The sequence below is a fragment of the Homo sapiens genome, chromosome 7 (assembly GCF_000001405.40).
Source record: "Homo sapiens chromosome 7, GRCh38.p14 Primary Assembly".
Classification (NCBI taxonomy): domain Eukaryota; kingdom Metazoa; phylum Chordata; class Mammalia; order Primates; family Hominidae; genus Homo; species Homo sapiens.
Window position 1 is genome coordinate 103,385,735 of NC_000007.14, and position 18,083 is coordinate 103,403,817.

Below are 18,083 nucleotides of genomic sequence, written 5' to 3' on the forward strand. Positions count from 1 at the left end.
CTGTCACCCAGGCTGGAGCGCAGGAGTGCCATCTCAGCTCACTTGAACCTCTGCCTCCTAGGCTCAAGTGATCCTCCCACCTCAGCCTTCCAAGTAGCTGGGACCACAGGTGTGCACCACCATGCCCAGTTAATATTTTGTATTTCTGGTATGGATGGGGTTTTACCAGGTTGCCCAAACGGGAGCTTTTTTCTTTCTTTCTTTTTTTTTTGAGATAGGCTCTCACTCTTTCACCCAGGCTGGAGTGTAGTGGTGTGATCTTGGCTCACTGCAACCTCAGTCTATCAGGTTTAAGCGATTCTCCTGCCTCAGCCTCCTCAGTAGCTGGGATTACAGGTGTGCACCACCACACCCAGCTATTTTTTTTTGTATTTTTAGTAGAGACAGGGTTTTACCATGTTGGTCAGGCTAGTCTTGAACACCTGACCTCAAATGATCCGCTTGCCTCAGTCTCCCAAAGTGCTTGGATTACAGGAGTGAGCCACTGCACCCAGCACAAACTGGAGCATTAAAAAAAAAAAACTTGCTGGACTTTAAAATTTATGATAACCGGCCGGGCACGATGGCTCATGCCTGTAATCCCAGCACTTTGGGAGTCCGAGGTGGGCAGATTGCGAGGTCAGGAGGTCGACACCATCCTGGCTGACACGATGAAACTCTGTCTTTACTAAAAATAAAAAAAATTGGCCGGGCGTGGTGGCACGCGCCTGTAGTCTCAGCTACTCAGGAGGCTGAGGCAGAAGACTTGAACCCAGGAGGTGGAGGTTGCAGTGAGCCGAGATCATGCCACTGCACTCCAGCCTGGGTGACAGAGCAAGACTCTGTCTCAAAAGAAAACAAACAAAAAAATTTTATAACTCAAGTGAGTTCTCTAGTGTTAGAAAAATAAAGACTAAGTAAATAAAAATAAATAAAATTTATGATAAGATACCATAAAATCCTATTCAGTAAAAAAAACAAAAAACACCACCACCAGCAAAAAAATTCTCAAATTCTATACTGTAGCTTGTTAAAAGTTATAGATTTTTTTTTCTTTTTCTTTTTTTTGAGACGTGTGTCACTCTGTCGCCCAGGCTGGAGTGCAATGGCTCAATCTCAGCTCACTGCAACCTCCACCTCCTGGGTTCCAGCAATTTTCTGCCTCACCCTCCTGAGTAGCTGGGATTACAGGCACTCGCCACCACACCTGGCTCGCTTTTGTAATTTTAGTAGAGATGAGGGTTTGCCATGTTGCCCAGGCTGGTCTTGAACTCCTGACCTCAAGTGATCTGCCTGCCTCAGTCTTCCAATTCCTGGCATTACAGGTGTGAGACACCACACCTGGCCAAAAGTTATAGATATTTTAAAACCATAATGTTCACCAAAGTTCTGAGATAAAGAACTCTTACATATGCTAATAAAGTTCTTTATAAAAATGGGAAACACTTCTTTTAGATAAATACGGGCAACAGTGTTGGAACTTGTTATTAAAGGTAGTTAAATTCTTATCCTGAGTTTAGAATCCCACATATTCTTAACATTTTTCTGTTATGTCATTTGTGATGATGAAAATGCTCATTTCCCACCCTTGAGGGTGGGGAGCATCCTGACCTCCTGCAGATAAGGGGTCAACATCCTCATAAAGTGCCCTTTCAACACATCACAGTCACAACTTTAAGGTTTCATGTGATTTGCAACCATAGGCAAAACCACACTAGCTTCATTTTCATTTCCCTCTGTGTTAGAGCGGGAAGGGCACTGGCATTGGTAGAGTGGGTAGCACTTGTCAGGCACTGTGCTGGCTGTTTGCAGGCCTTGTCATTTAAGCCTTATTGTAACTATATGAGGTAGGAAGTATTAGTCTCATTTTATAGATGCAGAAACAGGCTCTGAGAGGCATGCAAAATCACAGAGCTTACAGAAGGTGCCGCCAGGACCTGACTAAAGTCCAGGCTATTTCTTTATTTTATTTTAAAAAATTTTTTGAGATGGAGTTTTGCTCTTGTTGCCCAAGCTGGAGTGCAATGGCACGACCTCGGCTCACTGCAACCTCTGCCTCCCAGGTTCAAGCGATTCTCCTGCCTCAGCCTCCTAAGTAGCTGGGATTACAGGTGCACGCCACCATGCCCAGCTAATTTTTTTGTATTTTTAGTAAAGACAGGGTTTCACCATGTTGGCCAGGCTGCTCTTGAACTCCTGACTTTGTGATCCACCTGCCTTGGCCTCCCAAAGTGCTGGGATTCCAGACAAGAGTCACTGTGCCTGGCCAGTCCAGGCTATTTCTATGACAATGTTTCCTTTTCATCTTTATGGTGATTTATCACAAAAAGGTGTTTTTTTGTTTGTTTGTTTTTTGTTAGGGATGGAGTTTTGCTATGTTGCCCAGGCTGGTCTTGGCCTCAAGTGATCCTCCCACCTCAGCCTTCCAAAGGGCTGGAATTGGGATTATAGGTGTTAGCTACTGTGCCCAGCCCATAAAGTTTTTTTTTTTTTTTTTTTTTGAGATGGAGTCTTGCTCTGTTGCCCAGGCTGGAGCGTAGTGGTGTGATCTTGGCTTACTGCAACCTCCACCTCCTGAGTTCAAGCAATTCTCCTGCCTTAGCCTCCCAAGTAGCTGGGATTACAGGTGTGTGCCACCAAGCCTGGCTAATTTTTTTTTGTATTTTTAGCGGAGATGGGGTTTCACCATGTTGGCCAGGCTGGTTTCAAACTCCTGACCTCAAGTGTTCCGCCTGCCTTGGCCTCTGAAAGTGCTGGGATTACAGGCGTGAGCCACTGCACCCAACCATATATTTTTTTAATTTATTTTATACTTTCCCTAGTGGGCTCAGCTTCCTACTAGGGAGAAGAGATAACAAGGGAAAGTGGTTCAGGGTGGAGGAAATGACAGTGGAAGGAATGCATACGATAACTTGGTGTCAGAGTTTGCTTCATGTCATTGAAACTCATGTCAGTACTTGGTGCCAAAACAAATCACAAGAGGATAAATAAACCAGCATAGCACTAGACCAGGAATGGCAGAAACAATGATGGAAATTAGGCTCTTTTAACATAACCATTGATGGGAGCATAAATTGTGACATAGAAGAGCATTTGGCAAAATTATATGGAATTTTTAAATTGGCATTTTGTTCATCTAGTCAACAGGCTACATGAGTGTTATAGCTCCCTCTCACGCTAACTAGAAATCATCAAAGGGCTCCACTTCTACCAACTTAAACTTTGGTCTACACCTAAAGTCAACATTGTCATCTCTGCCGGGACATTCACACCCATTCCAATCTGGGCACTCACCTCTGTGTTCTGTAAATCACAGTCAGCAGAGCAATGATCACAGCAGTGATCAAACCATAGTCCAATCCCAGGAACAAGGAGGACACAAAAGTGGTAAGCCAGATGGTCTAAGCAAAAGACAGAAAACTTGATGGAGAACCATGTTAAACATCCCACAAGAGTTAAACACACAAGTGTGCACACACACACATGCTACTTTTACCTTGTCTAACTGGATACTGCACATAACAACTGCATTAATTTATCTTTCTCACATTTTTCTTAGCACTAATCATATCTGCTCTATGACATATTAACAGAGCCATCACCTTTGTTACTTACCAGCTCTATTTTGCTGGTTCTCCAGAAAAAGGGGAGATCTGAGAACTGCATAAACATTCCCTTCAGGTTGACAATCACAATGGCCGACAGCACAGCCTGAAACAGAGCACATCCCCCATGCCTCTCCTCTTGTGTCCACAGAGTGTCCTTTGCTGGTTCCTCACTGTCCTCCTGCTGTCCTCCCCATGCCTTCTCCCTACTCACTTCCTATATGGCACCGATGGTAGCTTTGAAGCCATGAACACCTGGATTTTCAGGACCTGGTTAGCTAAAAGGGGCCTTGGAAAATCAGTCTTTCTTTTTTCTTTTTTTGAGATGAAGTCTTGCTCTGTCGCCCAGGCTGGAGTGCAGTAGCGTAATCTTGGCTAACTGCAACCTCTGCCTCCCAGGTTCAAGCAATTCTCCTGCCTCAACCTTCCCACTAGAATAGCTGAGACTACAGGTGGGTGCTACCACACTCAGTTAATTTTTGTATTTCTAGTAGAGACGGGATTTCACCATGTTGCCCAGGCTGGTCTCGAACTCCTAACCACAGGTTATCTGCCCGCCTCAGCCTCCCAAAGTGCCAATTACAGGTGTGAGCCACCACACCCGGCTGGAAATCATTCTTATATCCTAATAGCAAACCTGCATGGTGGCCAAGAGGTTCAGAATTAAACTTGGTACTCAAGGAATTATTTCACCTATGGTCTTTCTACATTATGATCTTCTCTACTCTATATGGTTCCTGATCTCTACTAGATTAAATATACCATCATGTAAATGTCTTATGAATGTAGACCATCTCAGGTTTTTTATGAAAGTACAAGGTCATAGAAGGTCAAAGAGAGAAGGGATGTTCAAGATCAGCCAGTCCAAACCCCGACTTTGCAGATAAGGAAACCGAGACTCAGAGGAGTTAAGATGGCTTTCCCCAGGTCCTGCAGGCAGCTGTCAGTAGGTTATAGAGCAGGATCTTGGTCCTAGCCTTGGCCCTTTCTCATACCATCCTGTGAGGGTTACAGTAAATAACCCTAATATAGCCATAAGAACATAAACAAATAAAATAGCAAAATCTCTACACATGAAAAAAACTTCACCCAAGTCCACATTACACACACCTGGGGCAATGATTCAAAGAGGAATCCAGTTGCTAATATGACCAGCAGAATCATTAATGAGGCCAAACAACCTGCAAGCTGAATGAGAGAAGACACATGGAAGGGGCTTTTAGGAGACTTGAATAAGAGGCAGGGCATAAGTTGGTTTTATTCTTTTGATAATTACTATGGGAAGATCAAGAAAATATGGATTCAAATAAGTCAACTAAACCACTACATAACCTATAGCTCCATCACACTCCCTCTCTGAAGTTTTGGTTCTTCTTATGGCTTTTAAATGGAAGCTGAAATGTTGTAATATCCTAATTAAAATGCCCTTTCCAGAGGTGGAGGAAAGATGTCTGGTGCCAACCTGAGACCTACAAGGGCCACCAGAAGAGTTCAGATAAGTGTCTGCTGTCCAATATGGGAGCCAGTAGCCACATGTGGCCATTTACTTTTTTTTTTTTTTTTTTTGAGACAGACTCTCACTCTGTCGCCAGGATGGAGTGCAGTGGCGCGACCCTGGCTCACTGCAACCTCTGCCTCCTGGGTTCAAGCGATTCTCCCGCCTCAGCCTCCCAAGTAGCTGGGACTACAGGCATCCGCCACCATGCCCAGCTAATTTTTGTATTTTTAGTAGAGACAGGGTTCACCAGGTTGGACAGGATGGTCTCGATCTCTTGACCTCATGATCTGCCCGCCTTGGCCTCCCAGAGTGCTGCGATTACAGGCATGAGCTACCGCACTTGGCCGGCCATTTACATTTGTAAAAATTAAAAGTCAGGTCTTGGTCGAACTAACCACATTTCAAGTGCTCAAGAGCCACATGTTGCTAGTGGCTGCCATATTGGACAGTGCAGATATTGAACATTTCCATCATTGCGGAAAGTTCTACTGGATGGTGATGGCATACTGCCCATACTCAGTCTCAGGCTTTCATAACAATATTCTATGTCTGAACTTTGAAGTTTACTGGTAGCCGAGTGTTGCATAACTTTCCAATGTAACTGGAGAATATACCTCTTTCCTATAGATTCAGTTCCTTGTGATTCACTTCAACCAATCATGCCTTTCTCTGATTCCCTACACAGCTCACTGGAGCATGGATCTGCAGGCCAGAGTAGCTTTGTTTGGGTTCAGAATATAATCAAAAGATTAAAATTTAATTACCACCCATATCATCAGGTCTTAGAGGCCTGTTATGTACATACCTGTGTCTTCCCACCGGTTCCCTCCTGAACAAGGCTTCGAGACAAGGAGCATGAAATTGAAAAGGTCTGGAAGAGTGAGCCAATGGAATTGCACAGTCCCAGGGCAATGAGCTCCTTTCCCATGTAGAAACAAAACACAAAAGAGATAGGTCATTCTTCAGGAAAAAAAAGCATAATAGCCCATTTAATACACATTGTCAGCACTACAGCCTATCTCTTCATTTTCCTTTCAGATGTAAGAATTTGTTCAGCATGAGTTCAAAATAGGAATTATGGCATATTTTATAGTGAGAGGGGGGAACATTTTGAATTTTTATTTTGTCAGAGATAAACGCTGGGCTCCCTGCTCAGCCTCCTTTCCAAACACACCCTCTACATAAATAACGCTTAAGAAGAAAACTGCACTAAAAGGGATCAACTATTTTTACTGCTGAAGAGAAAGTTATTGTTGTATAGGACTCTTGGCATCTTTTTAATGCCTGGGCTATTGCTCACAAATGAGTACATGCCAGTGTCTTCCTGGGGCAAGTGAGTCCTGCTCTTAGGTTTACTTTGCATATTTCTAGTTTGACAACTGCATCTCAGATGAATGTGGAGCATCTAGTTTCTCCTTAGAATACATAAGGATTGAAATAGACATTGTTATGTCAACATTATAGGTCACAGTGTTTGGATTAAATACCTTATCTGTGGCTGCGTTATAAAAGTAGGTGACAAAGAGAATATTGTGGAGTTAGTGATGAATCAGATACCCAATATTTAATGAACAAAGATAAACCTTCCTAGGGAGCAAAAACGCCCTGGAAAAACATTTAATCCTAAGCTGTGAGCTTTAAAAACAGGAGTAACATTGCAGACTGAATAAGTACATGCTTCAGATACATCAATCACCAGTACAAAAAGTTTTTCTACCAAGATAGATTAGTTCTTGTGCCTTCCATAACCGACCTTGGTTATTTATTTATTTTTTTTCTGAGGCAGAGTCTCGCTCTGTCGCCCAGGCTGGAGTGCAGCGGCGCGACCTCGGCTCACTGCAAGCTCCGCCTCCTGGGTTCATGCCATTCTCCTGCCTCAGCCTCCCGAGTAGCTGGGACTACAGGGGCCTGCCACCATGCCCGGCTAATTTTTTGTATTTTCAGTAGAGATGGGGTTTCACCATGTTAGCCAGGATGGTCTCAATCTCCTGACCTCATGATCCGCCTGCCTTGGCCTCCCGAAGTGCTGGGATTACAGGCGTGAGCCAGACATTGGTGATTGTACTGCTATGAAACATGTGCAGGAAACTGATTATCTTTACCTGATTGCCGTCAACCTGGTAGCCATGTTTATTTGCTAAGGTCTTGGCCATGGAGATGGTCACTGAAAATCCAACGATGGCTATGGCAATGGCATCTACGTACACAAGGTGGAAGAGGCTGGTGTCCGGATTGGCTGGAGGTAGCAGCCTGAAAAGTCAAGCTGCCTTTAACTTGTGTTGTGACCACAAGGGAAAAGAAAAAAAACCTTGCGACTGCAGGGAAGCATTTTAGGGGGGCATTATCTGCAAATGAAGTAATCAATGCTTGGATACTTATTTGCTCTGGTTGGCAAAAAGGAGGGCCCTCCTTGACGCAGAGAAATTCTTTTCAGGCTCAAACTGCAAAGTGCAGCTTTCTACCTGGATGGGTTATCAGAAGAGATCAGATGCCGTTTTATTTATAAAAGGAGTAACCTCATACCTCATGGCACCCTGATGGCAAGTGTAAGTAAGACACAGAAACCAGGAAGAAGCGAGGGTCAGCAAAGTGCTCAGATGCCACCAGGCATCTGAACCCAAGTCTTGGGGTGGGGAGGAGAGTAGTCTAAGGGCTACCTTAGAGGAGAATTAATGTCCTAGCAATGCTAGGCACCCCATACTTCTCCCCCTTGTCATCTGATGTAAGGACTCTGAGTGTGCTACCTCTTCCTGTGTGTGTGTGTGTGTGTGTGTGTGTGTTTTATCCCATTAGCTGAGGTTGTAACATGGGAAAGGAGCAGCAGAAGACTATACTCCTTGGGTGTCACCTGGGAATCTTGTGAATCTGGAGGAGATAAAAGTGTGACTCCTGGAATCCCACAATGGAGAACCCAGCTTTTGTGGTACATACTTGTAGTCTGGGATCCTTATCCTAAAGAAACAGAATAGGGATTCCCTAGAATGTTATGGGGGAAGGGGCAATAGGGATTTGCAGACATTCTCCTCCAATTCAAGGCATTGGGCTAAACAATAATAACAATAACTTAACTGATACTAATAATTATAATTATTACAATAACAAGCATTTATTATATGCTTTCTCTGTGCCAGGTTCTATGCTCATTTAATTGTTTTCAATGGCCCTGTGAACTAGGCACCACTGTAATTCCCATTTTACAGATGAAGAAAATGAGGTATAGCAAGGTTCAGCAACTTGTCCAAGGACAAGCAGCTCATCTACCAAGTACAACAAAACCATAAAGAACCTGCTTGGCCACAGCTATTTCTCTTACTATGTCATAGCACAGTGACGGAAGGGATGTTTCACATCGTGAAGTAAGGAAACAGAGGAAGAAAGGGAAAGGAACCTAATGCCTGTTAAGGTGAGTTTACCTGCTACATGCTTTACATAAGTCGTCTCATTTTCCCTCACAGCACTCCCATTACATAGGTTCTACTATTATCCCAATTTGTAGGTGAAAAAATGGATTTTGACAGATGTTAAGTGATTTTCCTAAACTGTAGCAGGGAGTCAAACCTGGGGGGTCTGGCTATAAAACCTGTTGTCCTTCCCTTCTCTTTGCTGCACAGGCATGAACTAAGAGGGAAGGCCTAGCAGCAGGTTTGGGCCTAAGGGAATAAGAATATAAGAAAAGGACATATTTTGGAACAAGTTAAGGAAAGTAAACAAACAAACAAGAAAACAGGATATAGTGCTATGATTGGGATCTTTAATAGTCAACTGTCACTTTCTGGGCACCGCAAAATGCACTGCTCATTTACCAAGTACAAAACCATGAAGAACCTGCTTGTCTACAGCAGATGCATTTATATGTGTAGGTACGTGTATATAGAAGCATGGTAGTTTGCCTCCAAATAGGCCACCAGTCATTCCTCCCATACTTGTATGTGCATGTCACTCCCCAAATCTAGATGGGGAATCTGTTTCCCCTCCAGCTATATTTGGGCTGGCCTCGTGATGTGCTTCGAGCAACAGAATGTGGTGGAAGTGATGCTGTATGAGTGCCTTAAGAGGCCTGGTAAATTCTCTGCTTTTCTTTCCTGTTGCTCTGAGCCACCATGTAAAGAGGTCTGGCAATGCTGCTGGAGATACCACATGTAGAGAAGATGCCTGCTAGCCCTCACCTGTTCCAGTGACTCCAGATGAAGTGTCAGACACGTGAGTGAAGCCCTCTTGGATCCTCCAACACTAGTCACACCTGCAGACATCTGCAGATGCATAACAAACCCCAAGTGAGACCTGCCAAAGAACCACCCAACTGAGCCTAACCTACACTAAAGAATTATGAGCAAATTAATGGTGGCTGTTTTAAGTCACTGTTTTGGGTTAGCCTGTTATCAGTGGAGCAATAAGACTCACAGGGAACTGAAATGGTATGATTGTATGTAGATAGGTAGGTAGGTATTTGTTACCTACTTGGTTTTGGGCAATGTTCCAGAAAGATAAGGTCTCCTCTGGATAGCCTGTTTCCAGAAACGTAAGGTCTTTTTTTTTTTTTTTTTTTAGTTAAGCTGTCACATACAGAAGGGAAGCAGTATGTTTGAGTACAATGCAATAGGGAAAGGAAGATATTAAGTAGAAATTATAGTGACAAGTAGATTTATATATATATATACATATATATATACGCATATATATGTATGTATATATATATATATATATAAATTTTTTTTTTTTTTTTTGAGATGGTGTTTCGCTCTTGTTGCCCAGGCTAGAATGCCATGGCGTGATCTTGACTCACTGCAACCTCCGCCTTCTGGTTTCAAGCGATTCTCCTGCTTGGCCTTCCAATAGTGGGATTACAGGCACCCGCCACCATGCCCGGCTAATTTTTGTATTTTTACTAGAGATGGGGTTTCACCATGTTTGCCAGGCTGGTCTGGAACTCCTGACCTTGTGATCCACCAGCCTCAGCCTCCTAAAGTGCTGGGATTACAGGAGTCTGCCACCGTGCCCGGCCAATAATATGTTTTAAAAATGTACAGTTAGATAATATAGATGAAGCAAAGAAGTAACATGGTTAGAAACTAAAAACTCACTGAAATAACAGCCTTAGAACCCATTACTAATAAGTAGTTAACACGACTTGAATGCTTACTGTGTCTTCAGGTGTTCACTCATTGCCTTCCATGCATTATCTCCTGTAGCTCTCACAACTGCCCTTGAGATAAGTATTAATTACCATGGCCACCTGGCAGGTAAGGAAATGGAGGCTTTGAGAGGATAAGTGGCCTGCTTAAGATCACACAGCTAGTACGTGGCAGGCTAGGATTTAGGTTGTTTTGCTCTTAAATCCCATGTCATTCAAGGAGAGATTTTTAAAACTATTAAATTTAGGAAAACAAAAGAAAACAGAAAACCACTTGCCACTATGGGTGGGACTGTAAAATGGCATAACTACTATGGGAAACAGTATGAAAGGCTCTCAAAAAAGTAAAAACAGATCCAGCAATCCCACTTACAGGTATATACCCAAAAGAACTGAAAGAAAGGTCTCAAAGACATATTTGCACACCCATATCCACAGCTGCACTATTCACAATAGCCAAGAGGTAAAGGCAACCCACGTGCTCATCAGTGGATGCATGGAGAAATAAAATACAGTGTATATCCACAATGGAATATTATTCGGCCTTAAGAAGGGAAGAAAATACTGTCATATGCTACAATATAGACAAACTCTGAAGACATTATGCTAAGTGAAATACGCCAGTCACGAAAAGACAAATGCTGTATGATTCCACTTACATGAGGCATCTAGAGAAGTCAAATTCATAAAAACAGAAAGATGAACGGTGGTTACTGGGGGCTGGGGGAAGAAGAAAAGAGGAAGCTCTTGCTTAAGGGGTGGAGAGTTACAGATTTGCAAGGTGAAAAAGTCCTGGAGATACGCTTTACAATAATGGGGATATATTTAACACTACTGAACTGTACACTTAAAAATGATTAAGATTTGCTGGGCGTGGTGGCTCATGCCTATAATCCCAGCACTTTGGGAAGCTGAGGCGGGCGGATCACATGAGGTCAGGAGTTCGAGACCAGCCTGGCCAACATAGTGAAACCCTGTCTCTACTAAAAATATAAAAATTAGTTGGATGTGGTGGCACACACCTGTAATCCCAGCTACTCAGGAGGCTCAGGCAGGAGAATCACTTGAACCTCAGAGGCAGAGGTTGCAGTGAGCCGAGATTGTGCCATTGCACTCCAGCCTGGGCAACAGAGTGAGACTCGGTCTCAAAAAAAAAGAAAAAAAAAAAAAGCCAAGCACAGTGGCTCACACCTGTAATCCCAGCACTCCAGCACTTTGGGAAGCTGAGGCGGGCGGATCACCTGAGGTCAGGAGTTTGAGACCAGCCTGGCCAACATGGAGAAACCCTGTCTCTACTAAAAATATAAAAATTAGCCGGGTGTGGTGGCTCATGCCTGTAATCCCAGCACTTTGGAAGGCCAAGGCGGGTGGATCACGAGGTCAGGAAATTGAGACCATCCTGGCTAACATGGTGAAACCCCGTCTCTATTAAAAATACAAAAAATCAGCCGGGCGTGGTGGCGGGTGCCTGTAGTCCCAGCTGCTCGGGAGGCTGAGGGAGGAGAATGGCATGAACCCAGGAGGCGGAGCTTGCAGTGAGCCGAGATCATGCCACTGCACTCCAGCCTGGGGGACAGAGCAAGACTCCATCTCAAAAAAAAAAAAAAAAAAAAAAAAAAATTAGCCAGGTGTGGTAGCATACGCCTGTAATCCCAGCTACTTGGGAGGCTGAGGCAGCAGAATCGCTTCAACCTGGGAGACGGAGGTTGCAGTGAGCAGAGAAGGCGCCACTGCACTCCAGCCCAGGCGACAGAGTGAGACTTCGTCTCAAAAAAAAAAAAAAAAGGTTAAGACAAAAATTTGTTATGTGTTTTTTACTACAATAAAAATAAAAATAAAATGCACCCAATCCCCCTAAAGCCCTCAGCTATTTGATGTATAGAAAAAAGATTATTTTTCATTGCAAGAGAACTAATGTAAGAGTTAGAGGCAATAGATCCATTGATTATTTCAGTCACACAGTTACTTAAAACCACTTTCCTACCCTAGAGGAAGTGTTCCAACGACATCCACATTGTATGATTCTTTCAAGTTAAACCCAGCTGAAATGCCAGTTCCCATTACGACCTAAAAAGACACAAATCCAAATGCACCTTTAGAGATGAATGTTCAAATACTGCAAAAATCAGCTTCAAATAATATGTTAGTCAAGTCAAATCTATTCTCACTTTTAACATTCAGATTTAAAAAGAAGATTTACCATTAGCTTCAACAATTCTAACTTCTCTTAATGACCCTACCCCACATAATTAAAATGAACTCTACAGAGTTTATGACCTGGCATTTTCTTCATGCTTTGTCCTTTTCTATACTAAGGCGTCTGGCTAGTTGACTGCTACAGAAAAAGGCCATAAAGCCTTTCAAACGTTGACCTTACCTTTAGGGTGGTGAAATGAGTCTCTGGCCACAATGTTATGAATAAAGGATATTTAACTCTGTACTTCGAGGGTGGTACAATGACACTGTATGATTACAAAATGTACATCTGGATTTAGAATCCTCCTGGTGATCCTGTTTCTGGGACAGCAGCCCTAAGTGTGGTGATAGGGCCCCAGCAGCAACCCATAGCTGTCTCCTCTCATTTCAGCTACAAAGTCAGGGTAGAAGGGTACATCAAACAGAGGGTCACTTTACATACGCCCATCCTGGATTGGCAGGGCATAGATTTACTTGGGGTGTAAAGTACAATCCCTAATGAGTTGCAAGAGAAACAAAACAAAAGGTGAGATAGCAATTTGCTCCACGCCCAGGAACTATTGCCTATAGAGCTTTCTGAGTGAGTTACCCAACAGAGAAGAAATTAGAGCTGGCCAGGGAAGGAAGCCAGCCCCTCCTGAGGAGGGCCACTGCAGGAAACAAATAATAAACTTATTATCAGAAACAGCAGCCTGGGAGACCAGGGGCATGGGTGATTCTGGCTCTTTTGATGGGAGGATCCTTTTCTGTTGATGACAATTATTTTCATCACCCTTAATTGCATTTTTTGTGCATCTCTAACTAGGGGAGTGCCTAGAGTATTCAAATCCACAGAATATATATGGCTCAAGCTCCTGGAGCTATAATTTTATACAGTGGTTAAGTAATTTAAACCATTGTTTTCTTATCAAGACAAACAGATGTATTATAAAATTGAATGCAAAACTCAAAAAATATTTTTATAATAAAAAATAAATTTGACACTTAAAGGGAGTCATAAAGATGCTGTCCCTAAACTTTCTAGAATTCTGGGAAACCATTCCCCTGGGAAACATGGAAGAGTCTTTAAAGGGAATCTGGGAAACAGAATTAGTAACCCAAAGCAGGAGAGGCAAGCTGGTCATTTACTTCATAATTGGGGCTTGCCTGACTTCTTTCCCACGCAAAGGTGCTCAGAACCTCTTGCTGTACTCCAAGTCAAAATGGGAACTCTGTGCCTAGCCCCAGTGAGAGAAGAGGTTTTGAAACTGTTAGAGATACATTTCGTTTTGTTTTGCCTGTTAAAAGGTTCTAATGCCATGTAGACAAGACTGAGGAAAAGAAAAGGTTTGAAGGTATTGCTTCCTTGTGAGCTACGCCAGCCAGTTGTTTCCACAGCTAGAACTTGTTGTTATAATTTGGATCAGACACCTATACTCTTCACTTCTTTTTTAAATTTTTAAATTTATTATACTTTAAGTTCTGGGATACATGTGCAGAATGTGCAGGTTACATACATACACAAGTGCCATGGTGGTTTGCTGCACCCATCAACCATCATCTACATTAGGTATTTCTCCTAATGCTATCCCTCCTCAGCCCCTGACCCATGGACAGGCCCCAGTGTGTGATGTTCCCCTGCCTGTGTCCATGTGTTCTCATTGTTCAACTCCCACTTGCAAGTGAGAACATGTGGTGTTTGGTTTTCTGTTCCTGTGTTAGTTTGCTGAGAATGATGGTTTCCAGCTTCATCCATGTCCCTGCAAAGGACATGAACTCATCCTTTTTTATGGCTGCATAGTATTCCATGGTGTATATGTGCCACATTTTCTTTATCCAGTCTATCATTGATGGGCATTTGGGTTGGTTCCAAGTCTTTGCTATTGTGAATAGTGCTGCAATAAACACATGTGTGGATGTGTCTTTATAGTGGCATGATTTATAATCCTTTGGGTATATACCCAGTAACGGGATTGCTGGGTCAAATGGTATTTCTAGTTCTAAATCCTTGAGGAATCACCACACTGTCTTCCACAATGGTTGAACTAATTTACACTCCCACCAACAGTGTAAAAGCATTCCTATTTCTCCACACCCTCTCCAGCATCTGTTGTTTCCTGATTTTTAAATGATCACCAGTCTAACTGGCATGAGATGGTATCCCGTTGTGGTTTTGATTTGCATTTCTCTAATGGCCAGTGATGATGAGCTTTTTTCCATATGTTTGTTGGCTGCATAAACGTCTTCTTTTGAAAAGTGTCTGTTCATAGCCTTTGCCCACTTTTTCATAGGGTTGTTTTTTTCTTGTAAATTTGTTTAAGTTCCTTGTAGATTCTGGATATTAGCCCTTTGTCAGATGGACAGATTGCAAAAATTTTCTCCCATTCTGTAGGTTGCCTGTTCACTCTGACGGTAGTTTCTTTTGCTGTGCAGAAGCTCTTTAGTTTAATTAGATCCCATTTGTCAATTTGGCTTTTGTTGCCATTGCTTTTGGTGTTTTAGTCATGAAGTCTTTGCCCATGCCTATGTCCTGAATGGTACTGCCTAGGTTTTCTTCCAGGGTTTTTACGGTTTTAGGCCTTAACATTTAAGTCTTTAATCCATCTTGAGTTAATTTTTGTATAAGGTGTAAGAAAGGGGTGCAGTTTTCCACATATGGCTAGCCAGTTTTCCCAACACCATTTATTAAATAGGGAATCCTTTCCCCATGCTTGTTTTTGCCAAGTTTGTCAAAGATCAGATGGTTGTAGATGTGTGGTGTTATTTCTGAGGCCTCTGTTCTGTTCCACAGGTCTATATATCTGTTTTGGTACCAGTACCATGCTGTTTTGGTTACTGTAGCCTTGTAGTATAGTTTGAAGTCAGGTAACGTGTTGCATCCAGCTTTGTTCTTTTTGCTTAGGATTGTCTTGGCTATGCGGGCCCTTTTTTGGTCCCATGTGAAATTTAAAGTAGTTTTTTCTAATTCTGTGAAGAAAGTCAGTGGTAGCTTGATGGGGATAGCATTGAATCTATAAATTCTATAAATTACTTTGGGCAGTATGACCATTTTCACGATTTTGATTCTTCCTATCCATGAGCATGGAATGTTTTTCCATTTGTTTGTGTCCTCTCTGATTTCCTTGAGCAGTGGTTTGTAGTTCTCCTTGAAGAGGTCCTTCACATCCCTTATAAGTTGTATTCATAGACATTTTCTTCTCTTTGGAGCAATTGTGAATGGGAGTTTGCTCATGATTTGGCTCTCTATTTTTGATGTATAGGAATGCTTGTGATTTTTGCACATTGATTTTGTATCCCGATACTTTGCTGAAGTTGCTTATCAGCTTAAGGAGATTTGGGGCTGATACGAAGGGTTTTTCTAAATATAAAATAATGTCACCTGCAAACAGACAATTTGACTTCCTCTCTTCCTATTTGAATACCCTTTATTTCTTTCTCTTGCCTGATTGTCCTGGCCAGAACTTCCAATACTATGTTGAATAGGAGTGGTGAGAGAGGGCATCCTTTTCTTGTGCTGGTTTTCAAAGGGAATGCTTCCAGTTTTTGCCTATTCAGTATGATATTGGCTGTGGGTTTGTCATAAATAGCTCTTATTATTTTGATATGTTCCATCAATACCTCATTTGAGAGTTTTTAGCTTGAAGGGCTGTTGAATTTCCTTGAAGGCCTTTTCTGCATCTATTGAGATAATCAAGTGGTTTTTGTCATTGGTTCTGTTTATGTGATGGACTATGTTTATTGATTTGTGTATGTTGAACCAGCCTTGCATCCCAGGGATGAAGCTGACTTGATCATGGTGGACAAGCTTTTTAATGTGCTGCTGGATTCAGTTTGCCAGTATTTTATTGAGGATTTTCGCATCGATATTCATCAGGGATGCTGGCCTGAAATTTTCTTTTTTTTGTTGTTGTGTCTCTGCCAGGTTTTGGTAGCAGGATGATGCTGGCATCATAAAATCAGTTAGGGAGGATTCCCTCTTTTTCTATTGTTTGGAATAGTTTCAGAAGGAATGGTACCAGCTTCTCTTTGTACCTCTGGTAGAATTCGGCTGTGAATCCATTTGGTCCTGGACTTTTTTTTGGTGGTAGGCTATTAATTGCTGCCTCAATTTCAGAGCCTGTTATTGGTCTATTCAGGGATTCAAGTTCCCCCTGGTTTAGTCTTGGGAGGGTGTATGTGTCCAGGAATTTATCCATTTCTTCTAGATTTTCTAGTTAATTTGCATAGAGGTGTTTATAGTATTCTCTGATGGTAGTTTGTACGTATTGCTCTTTTTTTTTTTTTTTTTTGAGACAGAGTCTCATTCTCGCTCTGTTGCCCAGGCTGGAGTGCACTAGTGTGATCTTGGCTCACTGCAACCTCTGCCTCCCAGATTCAAGTGATTCTCCTGCCTCAACCTCCCAAGTAGCTGGGACTACAGGCATGTGCCACCATGTCTGGCTAATTTTTTTTATTTTTAATAGAGAGGGGATTTCACCATGTTGGCCAATATGGTCTTGATCTCTTGACTTTCTGATTTGCCTGCCTCGGCCTCCCAAAGTGCTCGGATTACAGGCGTGAGCCACCGTGCCCAGCCAGTAGTTTGTATTTCTGTGGGAGCAGTGGTGATATCCCCTTTCTCATTTTTTACTGTGCCTATTTGATTCTTCTTATTAGTCTGGCTAATAGTCTATCTATTTTGTTAATCTTTTCAGAAAACCAGCTCCTGGATTCATTGATTTTTTTGAAGGGTTTTTCTTGTCTCTATCTCCTTCAGTTCTGCTCTGATCTTAGTTATTTCTTGTCTTCTGCCAGCTTTTGGATTTGTTTGCTCTTCCTTCTCAAGTTATTTTAATTGTGATGTTAGGGTGTTGATTTTAGATTTTCCCACTTTCTCCTGTGGGCATTTAGTGCTATAAATTTCCCTCTAAACACTGTTTTAGCTGTGTCCCAGAGATTCTGGTCGTTGTGTCTTTGTTCTCATTGGTTTCAAATAACTTATTTATTTCTGCCTTAATATTGTTATTTACCCAGTAGTCATTCAGGAGCAGGTTTTTCAGTTTCCATGTAGTTATGCAGTTTTGAGTGAGTTTCTTGATCGTGAGTTCTAATTTGACTGCACTGTGGTCTGACAGACTGTTTGTTATGATTTCCATTCTTTTGTATTTGCTAAGTGTTTTACTTCCAATTATGAGGTCAATTTTAGAATCAGAGTGATGTGGTGCTGAGAAGAATGAATATTCTGTTGATTTGGGGTGAAGAGTTCTGTAGATGTCTATTAGGTTTGCTTGGTCCAGAGCTGAGTTCAAGTCCTGAATATGCTTGCTAATTTTCTGTGTCATTGACCTGTCTCATATTGACAGTGGGGTGTTAAAGTCTCCCACTATTATTGTGTGGGAGTCTAAGTCTCTTTGTAGGTCTCTAAGGACTTGGTTTATGAATCTGGGTGCTCCTGTATTGGGTGCATATATATTTAGGGTAGTTACCTCTTCTTGCTGCATTGATCTCTTTATCATTATGTAATGCCCTTGTCTTTTTTGATCTTTGTTGGTTTAAAGTCTGTTTTATCAGAGACTAGAACTGCAATCCCCTGCTTTTTTTTTTTTTTTTGCTTTTCATTTGCTTGGTATATCTTCCTCCATCCCTTTATTTTGAGACTATGTGTGTCTTTGTATATGAGATGAGTCTCCCGAATACAGCACACTGATGGGTTTTG

General features: G+C 42.2%; 1 protein-coding gene across 14 annotated transcripts in view, besides 1 other annotated feature; it reads right to left on the minus strand.

The window, feature by feature from the left end:
• The window catches only part of SLC26A5 (solute carrier family 26 member 5), a 93,478-nt gene that overhangs the window by 33,005 nt on the left and 42,390 nt on the right, over positions 1-18,083 (minus strand). For 5 of the 14 annotated variants that reach the window (NM_206884.3, NM_206883.3, NM_198999.3 and 2 more), the window contains exons 9-14: positions 12,198-12,280; positions 7,185-7,332; positions 5,888-6,001; positions 4,695-4,772; positions 3,595-3,690; positions 3,274-3,380 (exon numbers count right to left, since the gene is read on the minus strand). In NM_206884.3, the coding sequence (NP_996767.1) occupies positions 3,274-3,380; positions 3,595-3,690; positions 4,695-4,772; positions 5,888-6,001; positions 7,185-7,332; positions 12,198-12,280 (626 nt within the window). Of the gene's footprint in view, positions 1-3,273; positions 3,381-3,594; positions 3,691-4,694; positions 4,773-5,887; positions 6,002-7,184; positions 7,333-12,197; positions 12,281-18,083 lie in introns of those variants that run through there. The other 9 variants (NR_135802.2, NR_120441.1, NM_001321787.2 and 6 more) reach the window with 6 other exon arrangements.
• Positions 2,768-3,062: a silencer, noted in NCBI's record as "tiled region #10264; HepG2 Repressive DNase matched - State 5:Enh". NCBI's record gives its function as "represses a minimal TATA promoter and a strong SV40 promoter by Sharpr-MPRA in HepG2 cells {active_cell/tissue: HepG2}" and the evidence as "EXISTENCE:reporter gene assay evidence [ECO:0000049][PMID:27701403]".